General features: G+C 48.6%; 1 protein-coding gene across 7 annotated transcripts in view; it reads right to left on the bottom strand.

Moving 5' to 3' along the window:
• The window catches only part of PRMT8 (protein arginine methyltransferase 8), a 212625-nt gene that overhangs the window by 37330 nt on the left and 152070 nt on the right, over positions 1-23225 (bottom strand). For 4 of the 7 annotated variants that reach the window (NM_001256536.1, NM_019854.5, XM_047429157.1 and 1 more), the window contains exons 2-4: positions 15853-16038; positions 6553-6708; positions 2930-2993 (exon numbers count right to left, since the gene is read on the bottom strand). In NM_001256536.1, the coding sequence (NP_001243465.1) occupies positions 2930-2993; positions 6553-6708; positions 15853-16038 (406 nt within the window). The other 3 variants (XM_017019644.2, XM_017019645.1, XM_047429159.1) reach the window with 3 other exon arrangements.

The following is a 23225-nucleotide window of genomic DNA, read 5'->3' as shown; positions in this document are numbered from 1 at the left end:
CTTTACAGCTACTGTTCCATTTTTCTATTCCATCATTTCTGGTCCTTGCCTCACAGTCTTTCCTGAACCTATTCTAACTGGATTTCTCTCCCAGCCCCACATTGAGCCTGTGCTTGTTAAGAGCGCTGGTAACCTCCATGTGGCCAAAGTCAATGGTGGTCACTTCTCTGTTCTTACCGGACCAGATCCCTCCACATTCCCTACAGTTGAGCAAGCCCCCCTCCCTGGGCTTCATGGTCCTCCTCTCTCCTGAATGCCCTTCAACCGACTGCATCTTCTCTACCTCTTTGCTGCCCTTCTCCCCTGCTTGACCTCCGAATGTTGCAGTGTAGTGCCCTAGAGCCCCATCTTTGGCCCATTTCTTTCTTCTAGCTACACACCATCCCTAAGTGACCTCATCCTCTGGCTTTAAATACCACCTATAGGTTGATGACTCCCAAGTGGAAGTCTCCTGGTCTGGCTCTTCCTGAAATTCTGGACGCACGTATCCAAGTCTGACTCAGCGCACCTACCTGGATGTCTGATGGGCATCTCAAACCTAACACATGCAAAAAGGAGCTCTTGATTTCCTTCTCACTCCTGCCACCCCCATGAGTACTTCACCTCCAGCCAACCACCATCCACCCAGTTGCCCAAGTCAAAAAGAATCCTTGCTTCTCTCTTTTTTCTCATCCCCACACTCAATGCATCCTCAGGTCCCATCCACCCAGTTTCCCAAGTCAAAAAGAATCCTTGCTTCTCTCTTTTTTCTCATCCCCACACTCAATGCATCCTCAGGTCCCATCCACCCAGTTGCCCAAGTCAAAAAGAATCCTTGCTTCTCTCTTTTTTCTCATCCCCACACTCAATGCACCCTCAGGTCCTGTGCCTCCATCTCCAAGCATGTCCCACAGGGATTACTTCTCTCCAGCTCCACTGCTGCCTCAGTTCCTGCTGCAGCCCCTCTCACTGGAGCACTGCAATAGCTTCTTCCCGTGTGTCTGCTCACACCCTTCTTGCTTGCGACTTATTCCAACCCATCCTCCATAGAGAAGCCACCTCCCTTGCTTGAAATCCTCCAACAGACTGCAGCACCTGGAGAATAAAATCTAACCTTGTTTTCCTGGTTACAAATCCTGTGTGATCTGGTCCCCTCCTCCCTCTCTGATCCCTGTGCTTTCCATGCCCTGGCCACACGGCATGATCTTCTTTGTGTTTCTGGGCATGCCAAGCTCAGTCCATCCCAGAGGCCTTTGTACTGGCTGTAACTTCTGTCTGAGATGCTCTTCCCCTCACCTTTGTCAGCCTGGCTCCTTTCTGTCATTCAAATTTGAGCTTCACTGTGACCTGCTCAGAGAGCAGCTAACCTAACGCAGCCATGGGGTCTCTCTCCGTCCTGTCAGCTGACTTTGTGATCTGCAAAGCACTTATCACCACCTGATATTTTTCTTTGAGTGTCTGCTTCTTTATTTATTATCTGTAACCCCTACCCCTAAATGGAATGTGGATTCCATGAGGTCAGGGACTTTACCTGTCTTGTTCCCTGCTCTGTCCCCAGAGCCTGGCTCATGGTGGTTTGCAGAGAAGTTTGTTGAGTCAGTAATGCTCCTGCCCTTGCAAAGAGTCTGCAGCAAGTAGGTCAAGCACCAGAGAGGACAGGTGGCAGGGCTGAAGCCACATGGACACAGGTTTGTAGTGTTGTGTGCAGGCAGGTACCACCTGGGCCTGGGGACTCAGGTCAGACCCAGAGGGGTGACAGGGCAGCAGGCACCCTCTAGGAGGGCAGAGGAATTCTGGCAGGTCAGCAGGGAGCATGGCAAGGGCTGCATCCATAGAGCAAAGGGTCGCACAGCACAGAGAGGGGAGGCTGAGCTGACTCCTCGGTGCCTCGGACTTGACAAAGCCCACCTGCCAGAACTCCCTGCCCAGGCTCCCTCAGGAGGGACACTGAAATCAGATTCCTTCCCAACCTGGCCTCTTTTTCCCCCTGCCCCAGACCCCTCAAGGGAACGTCCTTCCCTCCCAGCTCCAGCCTTCCCACCTTTTGGAACTCTGCAGTGAGCTCTGCCTTTTGGAGCTGACCCTTTGCAGCCCTCTGCTGCAGGCGGCCTCTGTCTCACTGTGGCTCACCTCCCTGTCTGTATTGCAACTTCCTGTCTACCAGTTCCTCTCTCGGCCTCACTGCAGCCCCGGCGCAGTAGGACAGGATGCCTACAGGGGGCTAGTGCCCTGTCTGCCTTTCTGATGTTCTCCCCAGCACTGAGCACAGGGCTCGGGACTGCATCTAATCCTGCTGTCAGATGCAAGCTCCAAGGACGTCTCCTGATCAGGGACCCTTGCGGGTCTGTTTCCAAGATGGGCTCCAGAGAGGAGGGACTGGGAAATGTCGCTGTCCATGGGAAAGGTGAGAGGGGAGGAAGGGAAGGGACGCCCCTCTCTATAATCAGACTCCAGCTGAAGAAGGGCCCACTCCCAAAAGCAGCCTCATTCCCAAAACAGCCCAGCAGTGACAGGGCTCGTGGGCAGTGGAGGACCACAGCCTGGGGTCTGCCATGATGCCCCTGGGCAGGTGGTGGGGAAACATTGGGTCGGGGCTCATGGAGAGGGAGGGAAGAGGAGGAAGAGGAGGAGGAGGAGGAATGTGGCCATTTTGCAGAAGGCAATAGGTTGCCCACAGCTGGGGACAAGCAAAGGGTCTGGCAACTCGGGATTTAGCTACAAGCAGGGCTTGCCAAAAGCGGAGAGGGGGTGGCTGTGATCCTCAGCTGGCCTGGTGTCGGGGGGAACATCAGTACCCATGGCCGCAGTCTTGCTGGCGGGGGCCTCAGCTGGGTGCACCACCTCCCCAAGTCCAAGTGCTCTGCGCTCCTCCCGCTATGCCATCCCAACAAGAAAGTGTGAGCTTCCCGTCCCCTCCATCCAGGAGAAAACACTCAGAGGTATGTCTTACTGTTGTCCAAGTGGTTGGCCTTAATGATCTTCTCTGAGTAGTCAGAAATACTGGAGCATTCGATCTGGAAAGGGCATAGGACAAAGGAGCAAGGCGTCAAAAAAAATCACAGCAAGACCCACACCGATTCAATGGATAGAGACGCTGAGGCCCAGACAGGGGTGGTGACTTGCCCACGGCTGCATCACAACTTTGTGGCAGACTGAAAACCGAAACCCAGCCCCCCCACCTCAAGGCCAGCGGCCTTCCACGAAATTGGGCTGCCTTTGCGAAAAGACTGATGTCTAGTCACCACCCGTGATGGAGGGATTGATCTCTGTGCTGGAGACTCAAAAGGGGCTGGCAGACCTCATGCTCCTGGCCAGCAGAGAATGGCAGGAGGCAGTACGTCCTCCCCACCGTGGGGGACGCGGGAAGGCAGATCCAAGCCAGAGTTGCGAGCCTCCCTCGACATGATCCTCCCCACCGCAGCCCAGCCCTTCCAGGGTAAACGAGCCGCGTGCCAGGATGGGACCATCTGGAAAAAGCCAGGTCAAGACCTCAGGGCTGGTTTAAGATCTTTCTCTTCCCCTCCCACCCCCCACGTTAGCTCTCGCCGCTTCATCTTTGAAAGAAATTATTCCTTTTAATTCAGACGTCTTTCCAGGCTCTCCAGACCTCCTAAGCAAAGGGCCAAGGTATTTGAGAGATGAGTGGACCTTCCCTGAGAGCAGGCCCTCATGGGAATGGTTGGAAGCCAAGCTCCAGCCCAGGGTTAGCGTCTCAGGCACACTGCCAGGGGTTCTGGACATGGAGGGGCAGCTGCCAAGAGCCGTCCTCACCTCCGGAGCCGGCTCTCTTACAGAGGCTGGCCTGTGCTAAGGCCCTGGGCTCTACTCACCTCCACACTTGGGGGCCCCTCAGACTACCCCCAGGCCTCGGGCAGGGACCATTCCCTTGAGAAGTACTCGCAAAGGGGCACTGAGGGAGTTTCTGACGCCTCTGGCCACGCCTTGAGGAAGGGTGAGGGCACCTACGGGGTCAGAAGGGGTCACTTGGTTAGAGCTGCATCCAAGGAGGCCGACTCCAGCCAGGGTGCAGGTCCCAGGAGAACCAGCCCTTTCCTGGGCTGCCAGGTCCCTGGCCTTCAGGCTGCACTGTCTGTGGGGTGTGATTCCCTCCTCTTCTTCTCCCCCTCTGGCCATGTCATCATCTGATCTGCAAGAGGCGACCATGTTGAGTGATGAGGAGCATGCGACCCGGAGCCAGGCCTGGATTTATGCCTGGCCACTGCCCTTCCTAACTGCGCCTCAGTGTCCTCCCGAGAGAAGTCGAAGCCCCCAATGCACGTGAGTGTGTGAGGGTAAACTCAGCCGAAGCTTGCTCAACACTCAGAGTGCGGGGCGGTGTCCTTCCCTCCTCATTTTCCTTTCTTCCATCTTCTCCTCTTCCATTTCTTCCCTCTTCTCTCTTTACCACCTGTCTTCACTTTTCTGATTCTTATTTTTTGAGACAAAATCTCACTTTGTCGCCCAGGCTGGAGTGCAATGGCGCGATCTGGACTCACTGCAACCTCCGCCTCCCGGGTTCAAGCGATTCTCCAGCCTCAGTCTCCAAGTAGCTGGAATTACAGGCACCCGCCACCATGCCCGGCTAATTTTTGTATTTTTAGTAGAGACAGGGTTTCGCCATGTTGGCCAGGCTGGTCTTGAACTCCTGACCTCAGGTGATCCACCAGCCTCTGCCGATTCTTTTCTTTTGTGCTTTCTACTTTGTCTTCTTTCTGCTTTTCCAGGCCCCTCTCCCATTTCTCTAGCTTTTCTCTGCACCTTTCTCTGTCTCTGTCTCCTCTCCATTGCTCTTGTCACATCTGTCTCTTTCTCTGTGCCTGTCTCCACTCTGGGACGATGGTCTTCCTCCCTCCCTCTCTCTCTGTCTCTCTCTCCCGCCATCTCGTCTCCCCACTGGAGGACAGCAGTGGGTGGAAGGGGGTCTGGAACAGGAGAAACTGTGAAATGAGCCATCCGGAAAGGAGCCCAGCTAAATGTGGTGGAGCCATTTATAAAAGAGCTGTTAGAGAAAAGGGCGGGAGGCAGACAGATCGCGCCAAGTCACCGCAGCTGGAAGGCGCCAAGTGGGAGCCTCCTCCTGACAGCTCCTTGGCTGGAGCCCCCGGATGACTCAGGCGCCAGGGACACCATGCTCAGCCCTGTCCCCCACCAAGGCCGGCACTGAGACGGGGCCTCGGTGCTGGGAAAGAAAGCACGTGGGGGTCACCAGAGGACTCAAGTCCAGCTCTGATGCCCTGTGACCTCACTAAGACCCTTGCCTGAGGTCTCCATCCTGGAGAACCAGCAGTTATACCAGTGATGATGACATGACCTGCCCTTGGGCCTCCGGATGGGCCCCTGCCCTCAGCAAGTGCCTCGGCTGAGAACGTCACAGCTTTTCCTGGTCAAAGCTGCACCTGAGGCAGCTTGAGGGCAGCCCAAGCTTCCAGAAGACCCTCGGCAGCCATGGCCCAAGGGTTTTCCAAGTCAGGCTTGGAGGAGGAATGCTGCCCTGCTGGGTGACTTAGGAGCAGACCTCTGGAGGCAGCAGGTGGCCAGGAGGATCTAGGGGGATCTAGTCAACCTGGGAGTCAGTGGGCGGGGGGGGGTCCCCAGGGCTGGCTATGGGATGGCCCAACCAAATGCATGGGAGCAAAGACCCACTGAATGCTGCTCAGGTCGCTGAGGCCTCTGCAAATGGGCCGGCTCACATGCAGACTGGGAATCTCATTGTGGTTTGCCTTTCATTTTGACCAAGATGAATGCTTGTGCTCCAGCCCTGGGCCCACTGCATTTTTCAAATATCAGCCAGCATCTCGCAGCTCTTCTTTTTAGTTTCTTTCCAGCTCTGGACCTTCCCAGGCCCTCTGTCATCAGGCTGGGCAAAGCTGCCTTGGGAGAGCCAGGGGATAGGTAGGAGGCTTCCCAGAGGGTCAGCCTCCACATCTAGCCTGGAAACGCTGCCACAGCCAAAGCAACAGAATTTAAGTTGACCGACTTGCCCTCTAAAGAAAACAAGAAGGAGATGTTCCCATTATCTCTAGGGCCCCATCTCAACTATAATAATAGACGCCGAGCATTTGCCATATGCTGGGCACTGTTTTAAGCACTTTACATATGTATTATACTCATTTAATCCTCACAATCACCCTATGGGCAAGGGACTGCTATTAAGCTCATTTTATAGATGGAGAAAAAGTGAGGTGCAGGGAAGTGAATAGTCCAAGGTCACATGCCTAGTGAATGGAAATGCAGAGATTCAAACCAGAGCTCCCCCGAGTAACCACCTGCACTGCCTCTGAAGCTGACCTTGGGGCTAAGCACTGAAAGGTCATGATGACATTGGAATGGTCTCAGGAAAGCCACAGTTCCTCCGCAAATGTCAGTGGTTGTAAGGATCCAGGAGCCATGCACAGGGGACAGGCAGCCTGCTCCCCTTCCTGAGAGTCACACCTGATTTCTTCTACTCCTCGAAGGTGTGACCCCAGCAAAAGAGATGGACCAAATTTTGTACTTCTAGAAGGGCGGGTGGAGGCAGAGGGCAAGAGGCTGGCTCTGTGGAAGCCAGCATGCAGGAGGAAGCGGCGTGCTCACCCCAAACACCTTCTTGGCCCCTGCCTTGGCAGCGAACATGGAAAGGATCCCAGTACCACTCCCCACATCCAGTACCACTTTGTCCTTGAACACGTGCTTGTTGTGGTACATGGAGTTCCGGTAAGTGAGAGTCCGCACCTCATCCTTCAGCATTTCCTGTGATGGAGGGAAAAGAAAGGAAATGTCAGTGAATTCAAGACACCTGGGTGTACACCATGGCTATGAGCCCCTGGACCACCCCAGGTGACCCTTCAGGAGACCCGATAATATCATCAGGCAGAGCCACAGAGGACAAAACTGGGGTAGCTGGGCCATGTGCTAACAGCATCATTCCAAACTTCCCCTGCCTTAAAACTCTACTCAGAAAGATAGCTATTCACCATCAGAAGAGAAACTCATGTTCAGACCTGGGAAAGCTCTGATTTACTAAAGGACCAAAGGAAAGATCAGTACAACATAGCATAAGAGATTTAAGTTAAACACGAAGCAGAACTTTCTGTCATGGTGAGAGAATTGTCATTGAACACGTCATTCAAAGAGGTTTTTGTGAGTGTATATTTTGTTTTGTTTGCCTTTTTTTTAAAAAAAAAAAAAGACTAGAAAATGTGTTTCTCTGTCCAGCATATTGGCTTTGCAGTGAGAGAGAAACAAGATTACTTGTTACAGTGGACTCTGACCCAAGGAGAACATGTTAATTCTGTGTATGGTAGTGAGGTAGGGATCTTTGGCCATTCAAGGTATTAGCAAACGCTTTTACCTAATTCATCATCAAAAGTATTGGGGTGAATTTTTTTTTAGAAATCAACACTATTAAGGTATAATTTGCATGCAACAAAAAGCCCAGGTTTTAAGCTTCTGGTTCAGTAAAAGGGCTTTGACAAATGTATACCTGTGTAAGCACCACCATAACCAAAATCTAGAACATTTCTATCACCCCAGAAAGTCCTTCATGCCCTTTTGTAGTCAATCTTCAGCCTCTCCCAAGATGACAAATGATCTGATTTCTATCACCAAAGCTTCCTTCTGCCTATTTTAGAACTTTATATAAATTGTGCAACATAAAGTTTTTGAGATTCATGTATGTTATTACACAGATCCGAGGTTTGTTCTTTTGTTGTTGTTGTTGTATGGTATTCCCTTCTATGACTATACCACAATGTATTTATCCATTCACTTGTTTGTGGGATATTAGGATTCTTTCCAGTTTTTTGCTATTTATTCATAATAGCAAAGGATATGTTTTCATTTCCCTTGGGTAGATACCTAGAAGTAAGTTTCCTGGGTCTTAGGGTAGGTACATGTTCAACTTCATAAGAAATTGCCAAAGAGTTTTCCAGACTAGTTGTACCATTTTACACTCCAACCAGCAATGTGAGAGTTCAAGGTGCTTCACAGCCAGACACCTTAGCATTACTGATCTTTTAATTTAGCCATCCTAGTGGATGTAAACTGATTTGATGCCTCATTGCAGTTTTAATTGTATTTCCCTGATGGTTACTGAAGTAGATCTTTTTTTTCATGTGCTTATTGGCTATTCACATGTATCATCTTTTGTGAAGTGCCTATTCAAGTCCTCTGTTCATTTTTGTCTTGAACTGTTTGTCTTGTTCTTACTGAATTGCAGTTTATACATTCTGGAAGCTAGTCCTTCATCAGATATACTGCATATATATTGTGAATGTCTTCTCCCAATCTGTGATTTGCCTTTTCATTTTCTTTTTTCTTTTTTTAAAGCAGTTTTTAATTTTGATAAAGACCAGTTTTTCCATTTTTTTCACTTATGATAGGTGCTTTTTGTGCCCTGTCTGATCTTTGTCTGCCCCAAGTCACAAAGACACTCTCCTTTGTTTTTTACCAGAGTCTTTATGGCTGTGGCTTTTACATGTCAAATTAATTTTTGTGTATAGTGTAAGTTAGGGGTGTGAGCTCATTTTTTCTTGCAAATAAATGGTCCAAGAAACATTTCCTCCATTAATCACCTTGTCACCTTTACCAAAAATCAATTGACTCTACATGTGTGGCCTCTCTGATCTATTCCACTGATAAACAAAGTCAACACTGACTTGACTGCTGCACCTTTATATTAACTTTGAAATAACGTAGTGAGAGTCTGCCAACGTACTTCTTTAACAAGATTATTTTGATTTTTCTAGGCCCTTTGCATTTCTATATAAATTTTAGAATCAACTTATTAATTCATACAGAATAGGCTCCTGGCATCTATCAGACTTGTATTAAATCTATAGATCAATTTGGGGAGAACTGACATTTTAGCAATTTTGAGTTTTATAATCCAAGAACACTTTGCAGCTCTCCATTTATGTAGATCTTTCATTTATCTCTGGAATGTTGTATAGATTTTTATATAAAGGTCTTACATTTCCATTCAACTATTTTATTTAGTTTTTCAAAAAAATTTATCTTTTTATTTATTTTGAGGCTGGGTTATGAGACTGGCTAATTTTTGTATTTTGGGGGTAGAGATGGTGTTCTACCATGTTGCCCAGGATGGTCTTGAATGCCGGGGCTCAAGTAATCTGCCCACCTTGGCCTCCCAAGGTGCTGCGGTTACAGATGTGAGCCACCATGCCTGGCCCCATTCAACTATTTTATTTTGTGATACTGTATATGGTGTTTAAAATTTTTCATTTTGCAATGGGTTGGTGTATACATGACCTTGTATTTTGCAGCCTTTCTCTCTTCACATATTAATTCCAGTAGGGTTTTTTTTTTAGATTTCTTTATTTTTCTGTGTGAAAAATCCTGTCGCTTGTGAATAAAGACAATTTTACTTCTTTTTTCCTATCTGTATGCCTTTTATTTTTTGGTTCTTTCCTCTTGCTTTATTGCCCTGGCAAAGACTGCCAGTAAAATGTTGAATAGAATTACAGAGGACAGACATCCTTCCTTTGTTCCAATAATATATCCATTAAGTATAATTTAGGCTTTCTATAAATGTCTTTTATCAGGCTGAAGAAGTTCCCTTCCATTTTTAACTTGGTGAGAGATTTTATCATGAATTGGTATTTAATTTTGTCACATGCTTTTTCATTTATTGAGATGGTATATGACTTTTCTCCTTTATTTTGTTAATGGGGTGAACTTCACAGATTGGTTTTTAATGTTAAATGAACACTTTGTCATGATGTATTACCCTTTTAAAATATTGCTGGGTGTTTTTTGCTAATATTTTGTTGCATATTCATAATTATGAGAAACATTGATCTGTAACTTTGTCTTACCTTTTCTTCGGTAATCAAAGTTATACTGGGCTCATTACATAAGTTAGGAAGTGTTCTCTGCTCATATATTTTCTGCAAAAGTTTGTGTTAGGTATAGTTCTTCTTTAAATGTTTATTATAATTCACCAGTAAAACCATATATGCCTGGAGTTCTCTTATAGGAAGTTTCATATGAATTCAATTTCTCTAATTAGGAAAGGGTTATTTTAGCTTTCAATGCATTTTATGTCAGTTTTGACAAGGTATTTTTTCAAGGCATGTATCCATTTTATGTAAAATGTCAAATTTATCAGCACGACATTGTCATAATATTCTCCCATTGCCTGTTGAGTATCTGTGTGATCGTCAGGAGGTCCTTGCCTCCATTTATGTTATTTTAATTTGTGTTTTCTCTTTTTTTCTTGATTAATCTAACTAGATATTATCAATTTAATTAGCCTTTTCAAAAGGCAACTTTTGGCTTTGTTGGTTTTCTCCACTGCTTGGTTTCTATTTCATTGACTTCTGCTTTCATCTTAATTATTTCCTTTCTTCAACTTACTTGAGTTTTATTTGTTCTTTCTCTAGCTTCATAAGGTAGAAGTTTTGGTCATTGATTTTATGACTTTTTTTCCCCATAAGCATTTGAAGCTGTAAATTTCCCTCTAAATATTGCTTGAATTTCCGTCTCCAAATTTTAATATGTTGTATTTTCACTATCATTTAGTTTGGGATAGTCTCTCTTTCCTTCTGTGACTTCTTCTGTGACCCATGGGCTATTTAGCAGAGTGCTGCCTACTTTCCAATTATTTGGAGATTTTCTGGATAGTTTATTGTTCTCAGTTTCTAATTCAATTCATTGTGATCAAAAAACATACTCTGCATGACTTTAATCTTTGTTTTGTGACCCAGCAGAGGATCTATCTTAGTGAATGTTCCCACGTGCACTTGAAAATAACATGTCTTCTGTAGTTTGGGGATGAAATGTTCTAAAAATGTCAATTAGCTCATGTTGTTTGATTGTATTATTCAAATTTTCTACATTCTTACCGATTTTTTTTGTGCATTTGTGTGATCACTTACCAAGACAGAAGTGTTAAAAATATTTAACTATGACTGGAGATTTCCCTTTTTCTTCCTTTAGTTCTGTAGGTTTGGCTCCATGTTTTCTGGAGTTCTGGGTACCACGTTGGGAGGCTTTGTAACGTGTCACCTCAGCCAGGTGGTGCTACATTTCCCAACTTCTCTTTCTGTTATGTTTCCAGTTAGGGTGAGTCACAGAGGAGATTCAGGTGAGATACAGAAGGTGAAAAGGAGGCAAGAACCATTCTGAAGCCCAGCCATCACTTCCTGTGCTGCCCCAGGGCTGATATCTTTGATCTTATTAGAAGTTGAATAAGGTGGGGGTTTGGTTGGATTCAGTTCAATTCTGGCTTTAAATACTTTGAAGGTGAGCTGAAGCCTTTCGCTTTAGGAGATCTCGGACCAAAGACAACAAGACAGATGGTATATCTAGAACCAGGCATGGGGCATGGCGCATAGCAGGTGCTCAGTAAGCCGGAAAACCATACAGCACAGTGGTTAAGTACACAGACTCTAGAGCATTCAAATCCCAAATTCCCGCATTCAGATCATACCTCCACTGTTTGTGAGCTCTCTGACCCAGACCAGCTTTCAGCTGTCTGTGCCTCAGTTCCCTCATCTGGAAACTGGTAATAACATCACCTACTTCCTAGGGTTTGTTATGATGATTACACAAATGTAGTAAGTTTCACGAAAATGCTAGTTCTGGCTCTTAGTGATAACTACAACCCTTTCCTTCATCCATGCAAGGAAATAGCTGAGATGAGCAGGGAATGGAGGCAAAATAACGACAAAGGCTGCAGAAATGTTTCAATCATAACCACAGTTAAAAGTCTGAAGTGCCTTTAGTAGATGGAAGTGGATTGGCTGAGTACCCCCGGAGAGCCTGTTCGTCCAAACTGCACCATTTTGTAAGCTCCCAGCTATTGTGCAGACCTTGGTCAAAGTGAAGCATTTCACGGGGGTTCAGGCCATGAGAGACATCCTGCCTAACCACTTGACCGCAAGGCAAACAAAGGCCCAACTAAAGAAACATCCGTATGGTATCTTGCTGGGGACAAAAGTCCAAGGAACACCATGACGACATCCTGCCGGAACAAGGGCCAGAACCGCCTCATCACGGGAACATCTTAATATCCTGCCAGGCAGCGAGCCACACTGCCCAGACCCCTCCCGCCCATACCTATAAGTACCCCCAGCCTGTAAGTAGCAGGGGGCTCTGGCATTAGGCGGTCCCCCACTTCTGTAGGTTTTATGCTGGACATGAAGCCTGTATTTGCTGTCGAGCTGCACTCTTTCTGTGGGCGTGTCTTTCTTTAACCCTTGCCTTCCCTTCAAAACCTAACAGAGAGTATGTTTGCTAATGGGGAGACCCCCCAGTGGTCACCCTTTAGTTCATTGCCTTTGTCGCTTTTTTGGCCAAGTCTCCTTTCCTGGAGGTCCCAGGCCCCAGGAGTTAGGTTGGAAGGTACAAGTTCTGGGAGAACAGAAGTTGTGACTTAGCAAGGCTTCCCCTACCTGACTTGCCAAAAGAAGAGGTCCTCTATCCCCTTCCTGGGAGAAGAGCCCAAAGAACTCCCAAGACATTTCAGGAAGGAACATGCCACCCTGTGGAAAACAGTTCCCAGCCTCTAGCTGTGGATTCACTTGTGTCCTGGCTTTCCTGCCTATTAAATATATGACTGCCCATTGACAAATTGTTGGACTATAAGGCCCCAAAGAGTCTGTTTCAACAGAACCTGCAGCGAGAGTGTCAAAGGAAGGGAGCTGGCCGGGAGTGGGATTGGCACCCAGAGCTCAGGGTGCTGGAGGGACAGCCGCATTGGCAAAGATTCTTCTCGTGGCTGAGGCACCAAGCCCAGTGCCGACTGTTAGAGACGCTGAGATTTCAGAGCTGGGGTCTGGGAGGTCATGGAGCCTACCACCTCCTCTCTAGGTGGCGGCCTCAGGAAGCACACATCTTCCACTTCAGCTCCTGTTCAAGATTCCATGTTTCCCAGAGAGGCCTAAATTGGAAGGCTAGGGTCTTCCTCTCGCTAGCCCCTGCCCTCTGGAGGCTGGGGATAGAGTTGTCTCTGAATGGAGCATGGGATGAGAACAGAAGTGTCCAGAGTCACCCCCTGCTGTGCTCTCCAGCCCCAATAGTCCCCTGTACTCAGCATTTCTTGTTTGTATTTACAGATCAATCAAACCCAGTCTATCCGCACCACGTTTCCTCAACACTCACTGATGGCTATTAATCAGCAGGCCGGTGGGGCTGCTCCCCACCGTGTGAGGGTCTTGTTAATGATGGGGAGAAGACTGCCAAATGGCCAGCGTGGCTCCAGATGGATGCAGAAATATGGGTCTTGCCCAGACCAAGGAGGCAAGGGCATCACCACGATCCATCTGGCATGGAACAGAGATCCCTGGTGCTTGATAACAAGAACTGGGTAGGCCTTCTCTCTGCGAAGAATGGTGTTAAAAGTTCTTCCACGTGCCCCCCACCTCCTTTCATGCAGATGATCTGGGAAACTGAAAACAGGGTAAAAGGAGACCTCGGGGGGAAGGAAGGTTACCTAGCTGTTCCTGCATTAAAGGACCTATGAGATGGTCTATAGCAGCAGCAGGAGGGATTTAAGCTAGATGTCCAGAAGTATTTCCCAATGGGAAGGCTGCTAAGCACTCTCCCAGGACAGGAATGTGATCTATGACTCACAGGTCTTATACTCTAAGTCCCCTGCTCAGCCCGCACTATGTTTATATATACGTATGCACAAGCTTGACTTTTCCATAAGTACACACAATTGAGGGAAACTGGTCTAGTATTTATTTGGTGAAACTTGATGTCCTCTCCCCTGGGTGCTGGGTCATGGTGCTGACCAGGCATCGCCTGAATGACTGGATTAGCAGCCATGTCAACAAGCCTTTGCTCTCCAGACAATGTGCCAAGCTGTAGGTAACAGGCTGGGGACACCAAGTCCCAAAGGAATTATAGAGATCGGTAATAGCCTAGTGGAGCACACTCTAAACGCCAAAGGTGTGGCTCAGCAGGAACCTAGCAACTCAGAGGGAGGTGTCCAAGAAGCCGATCACGGAGGCTCCGAGTGGGGAGGGGAGACTGCAGACCCAGCTTGAGGTGCACCTCATGGTTGTTTGGTTTCTAATGGGGGAGTTCTGGGCAGGCCCAAGAGGAGACATTTTGGGGTCCCTGGAACTGCTCTCTTTTCCCAAGAATCTGTCCTGAAATGGGTACCCAGAGCCACAGGCCTGTTAGAACTTGTCACATGGAGAACATGACTTTTAATTAGGGACAAGGTCTTGAGGAAGGGGCCTTCGCAGAGTCTCTTTTGCCCCCAAGAGCCTCTCACAGGCCAAGGATGGGGCTCCAGGAATCCCTAGCCCAGTGGAGAGCAGGGTCAAGGAAGGGGTAAGAGTTCATCCATCTGCCCTGAGATGGCATTTTATCTCCCAGAAGCTGCAGGCTCAGCTGTCCAGGCCCTCCTGGGCCAGGACCTTCTGGACCGAACACAGGCCCCAGTCCTCCTCCCCTGCAGGTCCAGGCTTAATGGTTTTACATGGTGAACAGTTCTCAGGGACCCAAACCTTGAGCCTCCCTGGATTAAATGAGGCTGAGCCCCTGAGTCTAGAAGTAACTGGGGGGCCTCCTTCCACCCTCTACCTCCATGTAGGGCTGCAGAAGAACCAGCAGGAACAAATATGGCAATTTAATTTTTACAGTTTCCAGATGGAAAGAAAGGAAACTTGTTTTAAGGGCTGTATGGCATGATGGTTAGGAACAAAAGGTGAAGGTTTGATTGCTAGCTGTGCCATCTACTAGCTTGTGGCCTTTCACACACGCACACACGCACACAAAAAAACCGTCAAGGATGAATGAGGGTTGATTTGATTCTTAAGGGCCTAAATCATCTGGAGAATGGGGACAAGCAATAACACCAACCTTGCAGGATTGACCTGAAGAATAAATGAACCAATAATATAAAATGCTTGGAACAACACCAGCACGTAGTAAGCACTAAAACGAAACAAACAAACAAAAGAGCTGGCTATTATTACTAAACACCCTTCCGGCAATGGCAGGGTCATCATTTCCACATAGGAAGAGTTTACAGCAGTGAGTACGTGGAAGGAAGATCTTCAAGACTTGTTTTGAAAACCGATTTGCACAGCAAGCAAACTTTTGTTCCTTTTTCAATTTTTTCTTATGCTGTAAGAGGATCACGGACATATTTTCTTCATAGAGTTTAAATGAAATGATACGTATAATGTGCTTAGAACTGTGCCTGTCACTTAGCAAGCACTCAGTAAATCCTACTTGTTTATTTGGGGTGGCTGGAGAGAGTGCTGGAGATTATAATGAAAGATATACAGTAGGGGCACCATTAGGCCCCCACTATGGCCAGGATGCCTCTTGTTAGGAGGTTCTGTTCTGTTCCATAGTCAACATTAGTCTTCCCTGCTATGGGGTAAACTGGCATTTAGACATAAGAATTTCCAGACAATCAATCAGGGTGTCAGACCTGGGCCAAGCTCCCAAGAAAGCTTCCTGCAGCTCTTCCCCCGGAGGTGCTCATTGGTCAAAAGAATGCACATCATGACCTCTGAAAGGTCCTTGCTGCCTCAGGACTCTGACTGCAGCATTTGAGCTCCTGGTCCAAAGACCAGCGCTATCCAGCCCACAATGGATGAGCTGGGTTTATGGCTGGGGAGAGACACGGGAGCTGGAATGTAAAACAAATGGACCGTAAGCACCTTGTGTGCTCTCTCTGGCTGTGGAGTATACAGACACACACTTTCACCTGCTCCCCTGCTCCAGGCCTGGCCTGGCCCCCTCCCAGAGGGGCCCCCCGGATTGGAGAAAGGGTCAGAGGACTCAGGAACACTGGGAGCACTCCCTTTACCATGGTAAGGAGTTGAACACACTATGCTGCCTCTGAAAACAACAGAACAGCAGAGTCAGCCTCGCCCCATTAGCCACCCACTCGGGACACTTTACCTCGTGGATCCCAAAGTGGGCATAGGAGTCGAAGTAATAATCTCTCGAGGTCATCTCCTCTGGGTTCAGCAGCTTGGACATCTTGCCCCGTCCTGGGCAGCTGGGTTGAGTGGACACATGATGGACGCATTGCACGGGCTTAGCAGGGACGACGGGCTGGGGGGGCTGGGAGGGGGGGCTGTTCACCTGAGGGGAAGAGAAGGGGGTCGGGTGTTAGGAGAGACAACGGGGTCCCGCCCTCGGAGGCTTGCGGTCCTCTTTCCTTCCCCCTCCCTGAGCCCGGCCTCAAGCAGCCACAGCAGCCCTTCCTGAAAGGGAGGTAGGTGAGCCCTTCCAGCTCCCAGCAGTTGGGCTCATGGCTGTGATCTGTCCAGAGATGGCAGTCCACCGAGGAGCCACACACACCTAGATTTCACCCACCTTCAGCTCTTATTAGCTAGGTGACCTGAGCAATGCAGGCCTCAGTTTCTGTATCTGTGAAATGGGGAAAATAGTATCTTCCTTTGAAGGCAAATAGGAAACATTCAATAAAGGGAAAGATGCATAGCACAGCATGGTGCCTGAGAGTGTAGATTCCGGAGCTGAATCCCAGCTCTGCCATTTCCCAGCTATACAACTTTGGGCAAACTTATGAACTTCTCAGTGCCTCAGTTTCCTTTTCTCTAAAATGGGAATAAAATGGTCCCTGCCTCCTAGAGTTGTCCTGAGGATTAGACAAGTTTGTATTTCAAAGTGCTTAGAAAAGGGCCAGGCATATAGTAAGAGTTTGTTAGAGGAAACGAAGTCCCACCTGCATCCTCAGGAACGTGAACCCATGGGCTTCTCTCCACTCAACAGGCAGCATCAAGCTAGAAGAGGATACGGCCCCCAAAATGCAGATGTCTTAGGTTCTGGTGTCTCCTACCTGTTGTCTTGCCCCCTAGTTTCTGATTCACAGTTCTACCCTGAATTCAGCACTGTGGATACCCACACTGATGGCCTCCACACAACCAATTATTGCTATTTCTGGGTGCCCCAATCCTGAGGCCCAGCCCAGCTCTACACCCACTGCTGCTGCCCATCACTGTCTGCTCCCTGGTCCTCCACAGGCTAGGCGGAGCAGGGAGAAGGAGATGGGGGTCCACAGAGCTTCTGGAGCCCAGAGACAGCAATTGGAGCCCAGAAGCTCAAACACTGCAACAGAAGCAGTTATGCCAGGAGACCTCCTCTGCCTGGAGTGCAGGAGACCCAGATGTACAAGGCACAGTAAAGGCCTCAAAGCAGGGCTGAACTAGAAAAATAAAAAAAGGAGTATTATCTAGTAGTCAGTCCTCTAGGGCTGGGAATCCAGGCTCCTGGGTCCTATCCTGGCTCTAGTAAAATTAAAAATAGATACTAGGAGGCAGATAGCGAACTGGCTGAAAGTACAAACCCTGGAGCCACAGTGCCTGACTCTGAAACCCAGCGCTTGTTGGCTGTGTGACCTTGGGAAATAATTTGTCATCACTGTGCCTCAGCTTTTCCTCCTCTATAGAACACAAATCATAATAAAACCTACCTGAAAAATTTGTCCAAAAGTTTGGAGGAGTTGATATATGGAAAGACTTTAGAACAGGCTGGCACATAGTAAGTGCTTATGATTATTACATACATCATGTCCTTGTTCTATGTCTCGATTTTCTTGTCTGTGAGCTGGGTCAGCTCAGACTTACTGTCTCCTTTCTAGCAAGAGAAACAGGGGAATCCTAGGACACAGCAAGATCAAGAAAGCCAAGTTATTTCAACCCCTCCGTGGAATCACTCCGCGCAGTCCCAAGACTGTTCTGTGTCCAGGGCTGCAGGGGAGTGAGCTGGGGGCAGTGGGATGGTCCCATCTTCCCAGTGTACCTAGGCTACCGCCCTTGGGAAATAAGCAGACTTCCCAGTTTAGCAACATCAGATTTCACGTCGGTGAGATCCCGGGCGGGCTGGCAAAGGCGAGTGGGGCTGCCTCATTAGAATGCAGCAGGTGTGCCCACTCTCAGCTTGGGATGTTGGTCACGGTCTCTGGGAGGCTAAAAATAGACTGTGTCAAGTGCACACTCCTGTGCAGGCTGCAGAATCACCTCTAAAGCTGAAGAAGGCTCCGTGCATGAAGCTGACCCCAATATCGACTCCATTTAAATATGTGAAGGAGAGGAAAAAGTCGGAGCTGGTCTGGGCATTGTGCATGGTCAAGGTCACAGGGGCCTCCAGCACCCCTTAGCTGTCACTCCACTCTGGTTCCAAGGCTCTCTTTTCCATGTGCTTCCTGGGACTCCACAGGCTAAGACTCCCCGGAGGCTGGGAGTGGGTGGGAAACGGCAGTGGCCTGTGATCCCTGAACATTCAGCGACATGGGGTGTTGCTTTTAATTCCACAACTGCCTACTGCACAGATCTCCAACAGCAAGGCAGCGTGCAGGTCCTGTGGAAGAAATAGACGTGTGGGAACTGTGCCCTCCCAGGACCCTGTTTTCTAGATTCTAAGACCCTTATTGTCTCTGATAGATGCTGGAATAAGGTTTGTTCTACAAGAGAAGTTCAAGCAAATTGTTCTGGAGGTTCACAGGAAAGAGAATTCACTTTAATGCAGAGAGTCAGGAAGCCCTGGGATAGCAGGAGGTGGGGTGAGGTGGGAGCTTTTTGAACGGATTTTGGCAGGTGGAGGAAGAGACGGCTTGAGCAACCAAAAGGCGGGAGAGCAGTGAGTTTGTTTGGGAGCAGCTTGGCTGAGACAGTGAGAGATTCAGTTGAAAGGAAATTATGGCCAGGCTAAGAGGTCGTAATTAAATACAAAAGACAACGGGGAGCTATTGCCGGTTTGTAACCAGGGAAGCAGTGACTTCTGTGTTTGGGCTCCTCTTTAGGAAGATAGATGTGGTAGCAGCACACAGGAGGGGCCAAGGAAAAGAAGGGAATGGAAGAGAGGCAAAGTATGAACTTTGGAGGCTATGTTCAAAGTCCAGTCAAGAAATAATGAGAGCCTGAACTACTGGGGTGTCCGAGGGGCTGCCTGCCAGAGAAAGTGCAGAAATAGACTCTACAGGCTTTGGCAACTGACAAAATGTAGGGGAAGAGAGAGGAGCTGGAATCAAAGATGACTTCAACATTTCAAGCCTGGGTGACTAGGGAAATGGTGGTGACATTAACAAAAATAAGCCAGTCAGCAGGCAGAGCAGGTTGGGGTGGGGGGAAATAATGAATTTCAATTTGGATATGCAGAGTTTGAAATGTCATTGAGTCATATAAGAGAAGATGTCTAGCAAGAAGACATTAATGCAGTTCCAGACAATAAATATCATAAACAAAATTAAAAGGCAAATGATAAACCGAGAAGTACGTTTTAACATATGTGGCAGACAAAGGTTAATGCCCTTAATACGTAGAGAGCTCTTACAAGCCAATACAAAAATAGATGAACACCCACAATGTAATATTGGGGAAAGGATTGGATAATCTGTCCACATGAGGCAAGTACATGTGAAATACAAATGGCAGGTTGATGTGCAACAAAAATGTTTAACCTCATTAGAAATCAGGTAAATTCAAATTCAAATAGAAAACTTACAGCTTTTAAATACCAGATAAGCTCTTCTCCCACCAAAACAACCACAGCTCTGCATATGTAAGAGTTGCAGAGAGATAGGTCCTTTCACACATTTCTAGTGGGAATGAAAATAGGTCAAGACTTTTAGAAAGGCCGTTTGGTAAAATGTACTTGAAGTGTTAAAGAGCACAAATCCGTTAACCCAGCAATTGAAGTTCTGTGGACTTTACCATAAGAAGAGAATCATGGATCATCATAATGATGTAGCTGTTGAGAATTTCATGACAATGCTGTCCTTAGTGACAAAAGGTAGGAGTCAACTGAAATGTTCCACAAAGTGAGACATTAAACTGTGGTGTAGCCACACAATAGAACACTATGCGGCCATTAAAGGTATTATGGGAAGAGTGTTTGATTACACAAAAATATGATCATGACAGATTGTTCCACCACTTCCAGGCTGCCCTTCCTCCAAGGATGTGTGGCCCGAGCATTGCACTCCGGTGTCCAAGCAAGGGCTCCGAAACAAAGTCAACCTCCATCCAGCCTGGCTGGGGCCCTCCACACCTCAGCCACCAGGGAGGACCCTGCTCAGGAAGCTGTGCAGATCACCTCACCTCTAGGGCTGAAGAAGGCTGTGTGCATGAAGCTGACCCCAGTATTGACTCCATTTAAATATATTAAGGAGAGGAAAAAGTCCTAGCTGGCCTGGGCATTGTGCACGGTCAAGGTCACAGGGGCCTCCAGCACCCATAAGCTGTCATTCAACTCTGATTCCAAGGTTCTCTTTTCCATGGGGCTCCCTGAGACTCTCCCCAACAGCCAGCTTATGAAGTGTCTGCCGTGTGCCATGCAGGAGGCAAAAGGATGCATGGATTTGGGGGCATTCATTTCAATAGCCACAGGTCATGGGGACAAATAAATGACTGGCCCAGACCCTGGTCTGCAGCCTGGCACTCTGCCCATTGGCTGACAGGCATACCCTCTCCCTGAAGGCTGGGAGTGGGTGGGAAGCAGCCGTGGCCTGTGATCCCTGAACATTCAGCTACATGGGGTGATGCTTTTAAATTCTACAACTACCTGCTGAACTTCTACAACAGCAAGGCACTGTGCCAGCCCTGTGAAAGAAACAAGAGACATATGGGTATTCTATGGATCCTATGCAGGCAAATTGGAACACTTATAGGAATCCAGATGCATCTCCAAGAGATATACATGATTGTTCAGCCACAACTGAAGGCTCTTGAGACTTGAGGAGCACAGGGGATAGGTCTTGGGGGATGACAGTGGTCTCCTCTGTAAAGTCAGAAGGCTCAACTCCTCCCTAAGCCACACCAGGCAAGCAGAGTCTCTGAGTGAAGGTGACTTTCAAACTCCAATCTTGTATACATAGTCTGAGAAGTCAGCAAAAGGATTTGGAATCACACTCGGATGGGCAGCTGGACTCTCAACATCAGCGTCTTGGTCTGCTCATGGCTGCAGCTTTCTCACCTCCAATTTGCTCCCTGTGCCCAAGTCCCTCCCCACTGGACATTCCAGTGCCCCCAGTCCCTTCCAGGGTTCCTGTGCCCACATCACCCTGGAGGTCTGGCCCTGCCTGCTCTGCCCTGGAGTCGGTTCTGGTACCTGTTTCTGCACCATCGCCTCCAGCCTTGTCCTGTTGGGTTCTTGGGCCCCAGGGCAGAGAAAGCACCCTGCCTTGCTCTTTCCCCACCTCCGTCCAAAGGCCCAGGCCCAGGGCCCTGTTACTTGCTGGAGGTCTCCCGATGTTGTCTGCCTCCCTGATATGGTGAGAATCACCCTCCACTGTCAATACTTGTGATTTGCCTTCGACTCACCACGCCAGCGGCTGATCAGGACTCCCCCAACACAGTGTTCCGCCCCCAGACTGGCCTTACCCAGGGCAGCTTCAGCACAGTTTTTCTCCCTAATAAATAAAGTGCGATTGTCTTAGTCTACCCACTCTACTGGGGTGAACAGGCCTCGGGCCCACTAAATGCAGAGATGAAAGGTTATGGACGCAGCAGAGCTGGAGACAGGAGGAAGCTGGCTTCCTGAAGAAGGGGCATGTGAGCTTGTGAGCTCGTCCTTGAAGGGTGGGTCGGATTTCCACAAGCAGGGGTGGGGATTTGGGGGAGCATGTTTGACCTAACCCACATCCCTTGAAAATGCAGGTAGATGGCAGAGGATGATGATGGTGATGAGACCTAACATTGACTAAGGGCCCACTGCGCCCCAGGCGCTGCGCCAAGCACTTTATAGATAGACACCATCTCGTGAAATCCTCATAGTAACTGACATTTACAGATGAGGAAACTAAAGCTCACAAAGTCCAGTCATTTGCCAGGGCCCAGAGATAGCAAGCAGCACAGCCAAGATGTCAACCAGTATCTGTTTTATGCCAAAACCTGTGCTCTTGAAACTGATGCCATGGTTAGCTCAGTTCGGCCCAACCAAGCTTAACTGAGCTACTGCCAGGAGCCAGGCCCTGTGCTCAGAAAAGGGTAACACAGCTGGCCCAGGCAGGAAGCCCAGTGTTGAGGGCAGAAAGAGAGTCAACAGGCAATAACTAGACAGAGGAGAGCGCTTCAGTGGAGGTAGGCACAGGCAGGCACCTCTCCAAGGTGACAGAGTTTAAAGAGAGCAGACAATAGGTGTCAGGGTGCAGATGGAGAGACTGAGGCCCACAGAAGGAAAGGAATTTGTTTAGGCTCACCTAGGGGAATCTAGGTCCGGAGGTGGATCTGGAACTGGAACCTCCAAGAGAATAGGAAAGAGGTGGTAGAGGAGAGGAAAAAGAAGCTTTAAGGAAGGAGAGTGAAGGTGCTGGACATCTGAAGGGGGAAGGCAGCCTGCAGAGGGGAGAGGGAAGCCAGCACTCTCTGCACCAGGCAGCCAAAGTGAACCTAAGCCCTTTGGGCTATAAATGGCTCCTGCTGGCACCAGCCCAAGCTTTAAAATGATTTCCCTGAGAACAAGAGGCTCCACTAGAGGAGCCAAATCCTGCTCTGTTCTCCAAATGTCAAGAGAGCTTTTTCTAACCTGAGTCGTCTGTCCTCAGCAGCCGCCTGCCTGGCCTGGAGGGCCCACGGAGGGAAGAAAGAGGATCGCAGTGGGAGGGGACAGAGTAGGGGTGGCAGGAGGCTTCCAGCCTGGGCCTCACCCCACTCTTTTGCCCACCGCCTTCACCTTCTTCCCTCCTTGCCCACCTTCGTGCCAGCCCCTCTGCCCAGTGTCGCCCTTAGACACTCACCACACCTCTCTTCAACCTGTGTTTACTCACCAGGCTGTGATCTAAGCTGTGGCTCCCGTTCTGCATAATTACACAAAGGGTTAGCTCTTCCAGAACCATCTGCCTGCCTTTAGATAGGGACCAGAGGTTTGCAGAAAAAAAGAACATTCTTATGTGAAATGTCAGGCAGCAGCAAGACAAGCAAGGGCTCTGCTGGGCATTGGGACCTCTCCTATCACCTAAGAAAGCAAAAGTACAGCTTTATTGCCTGCCTTTGGCCAAGACAGCCCTACATGCACCCTCTCTCTACTCTCCTGCACCCCTGTCTTATCATCGGGGCTGGCAGATGAAGTCAGCCCCCTCAGAGGGGTGTACTGTGCTAGGGTAGGTAGCTCTAGCTTGCTGCTTCTTACCCTCGGGGCTGGAAGCCCAGAGTCTGGGGGCAAAGGGGAGGAGGGTCAGGGTTGTCCAGGCTTCCCTGGGCCACATTAGAAGAAGAAGAATGGTCTTGGGCCACCCATAAAATACACTAACGATTGCTGATGAGCTAAAAAATAAAAATCCAAACAAAATCTCATAGTATTTTAAGAAAGTC

The sequence above is a fragment of the Homo sapiens genome, chromosome 12, assembly GCF_000001405.40.
Source record: "Homo sapiens chromosome 12, GRCh38.p14 Primary Assembly".
Taxonomy (NCBI): domain Eukaryota; kingdom Metazoa; phylum Chordata; class Mammalia; order Primates; family Hominidae; genus Homo; species Homo sapiens.
This window is presented reverse-complemented; position numbering and strand designations above follow the sequence as displayed.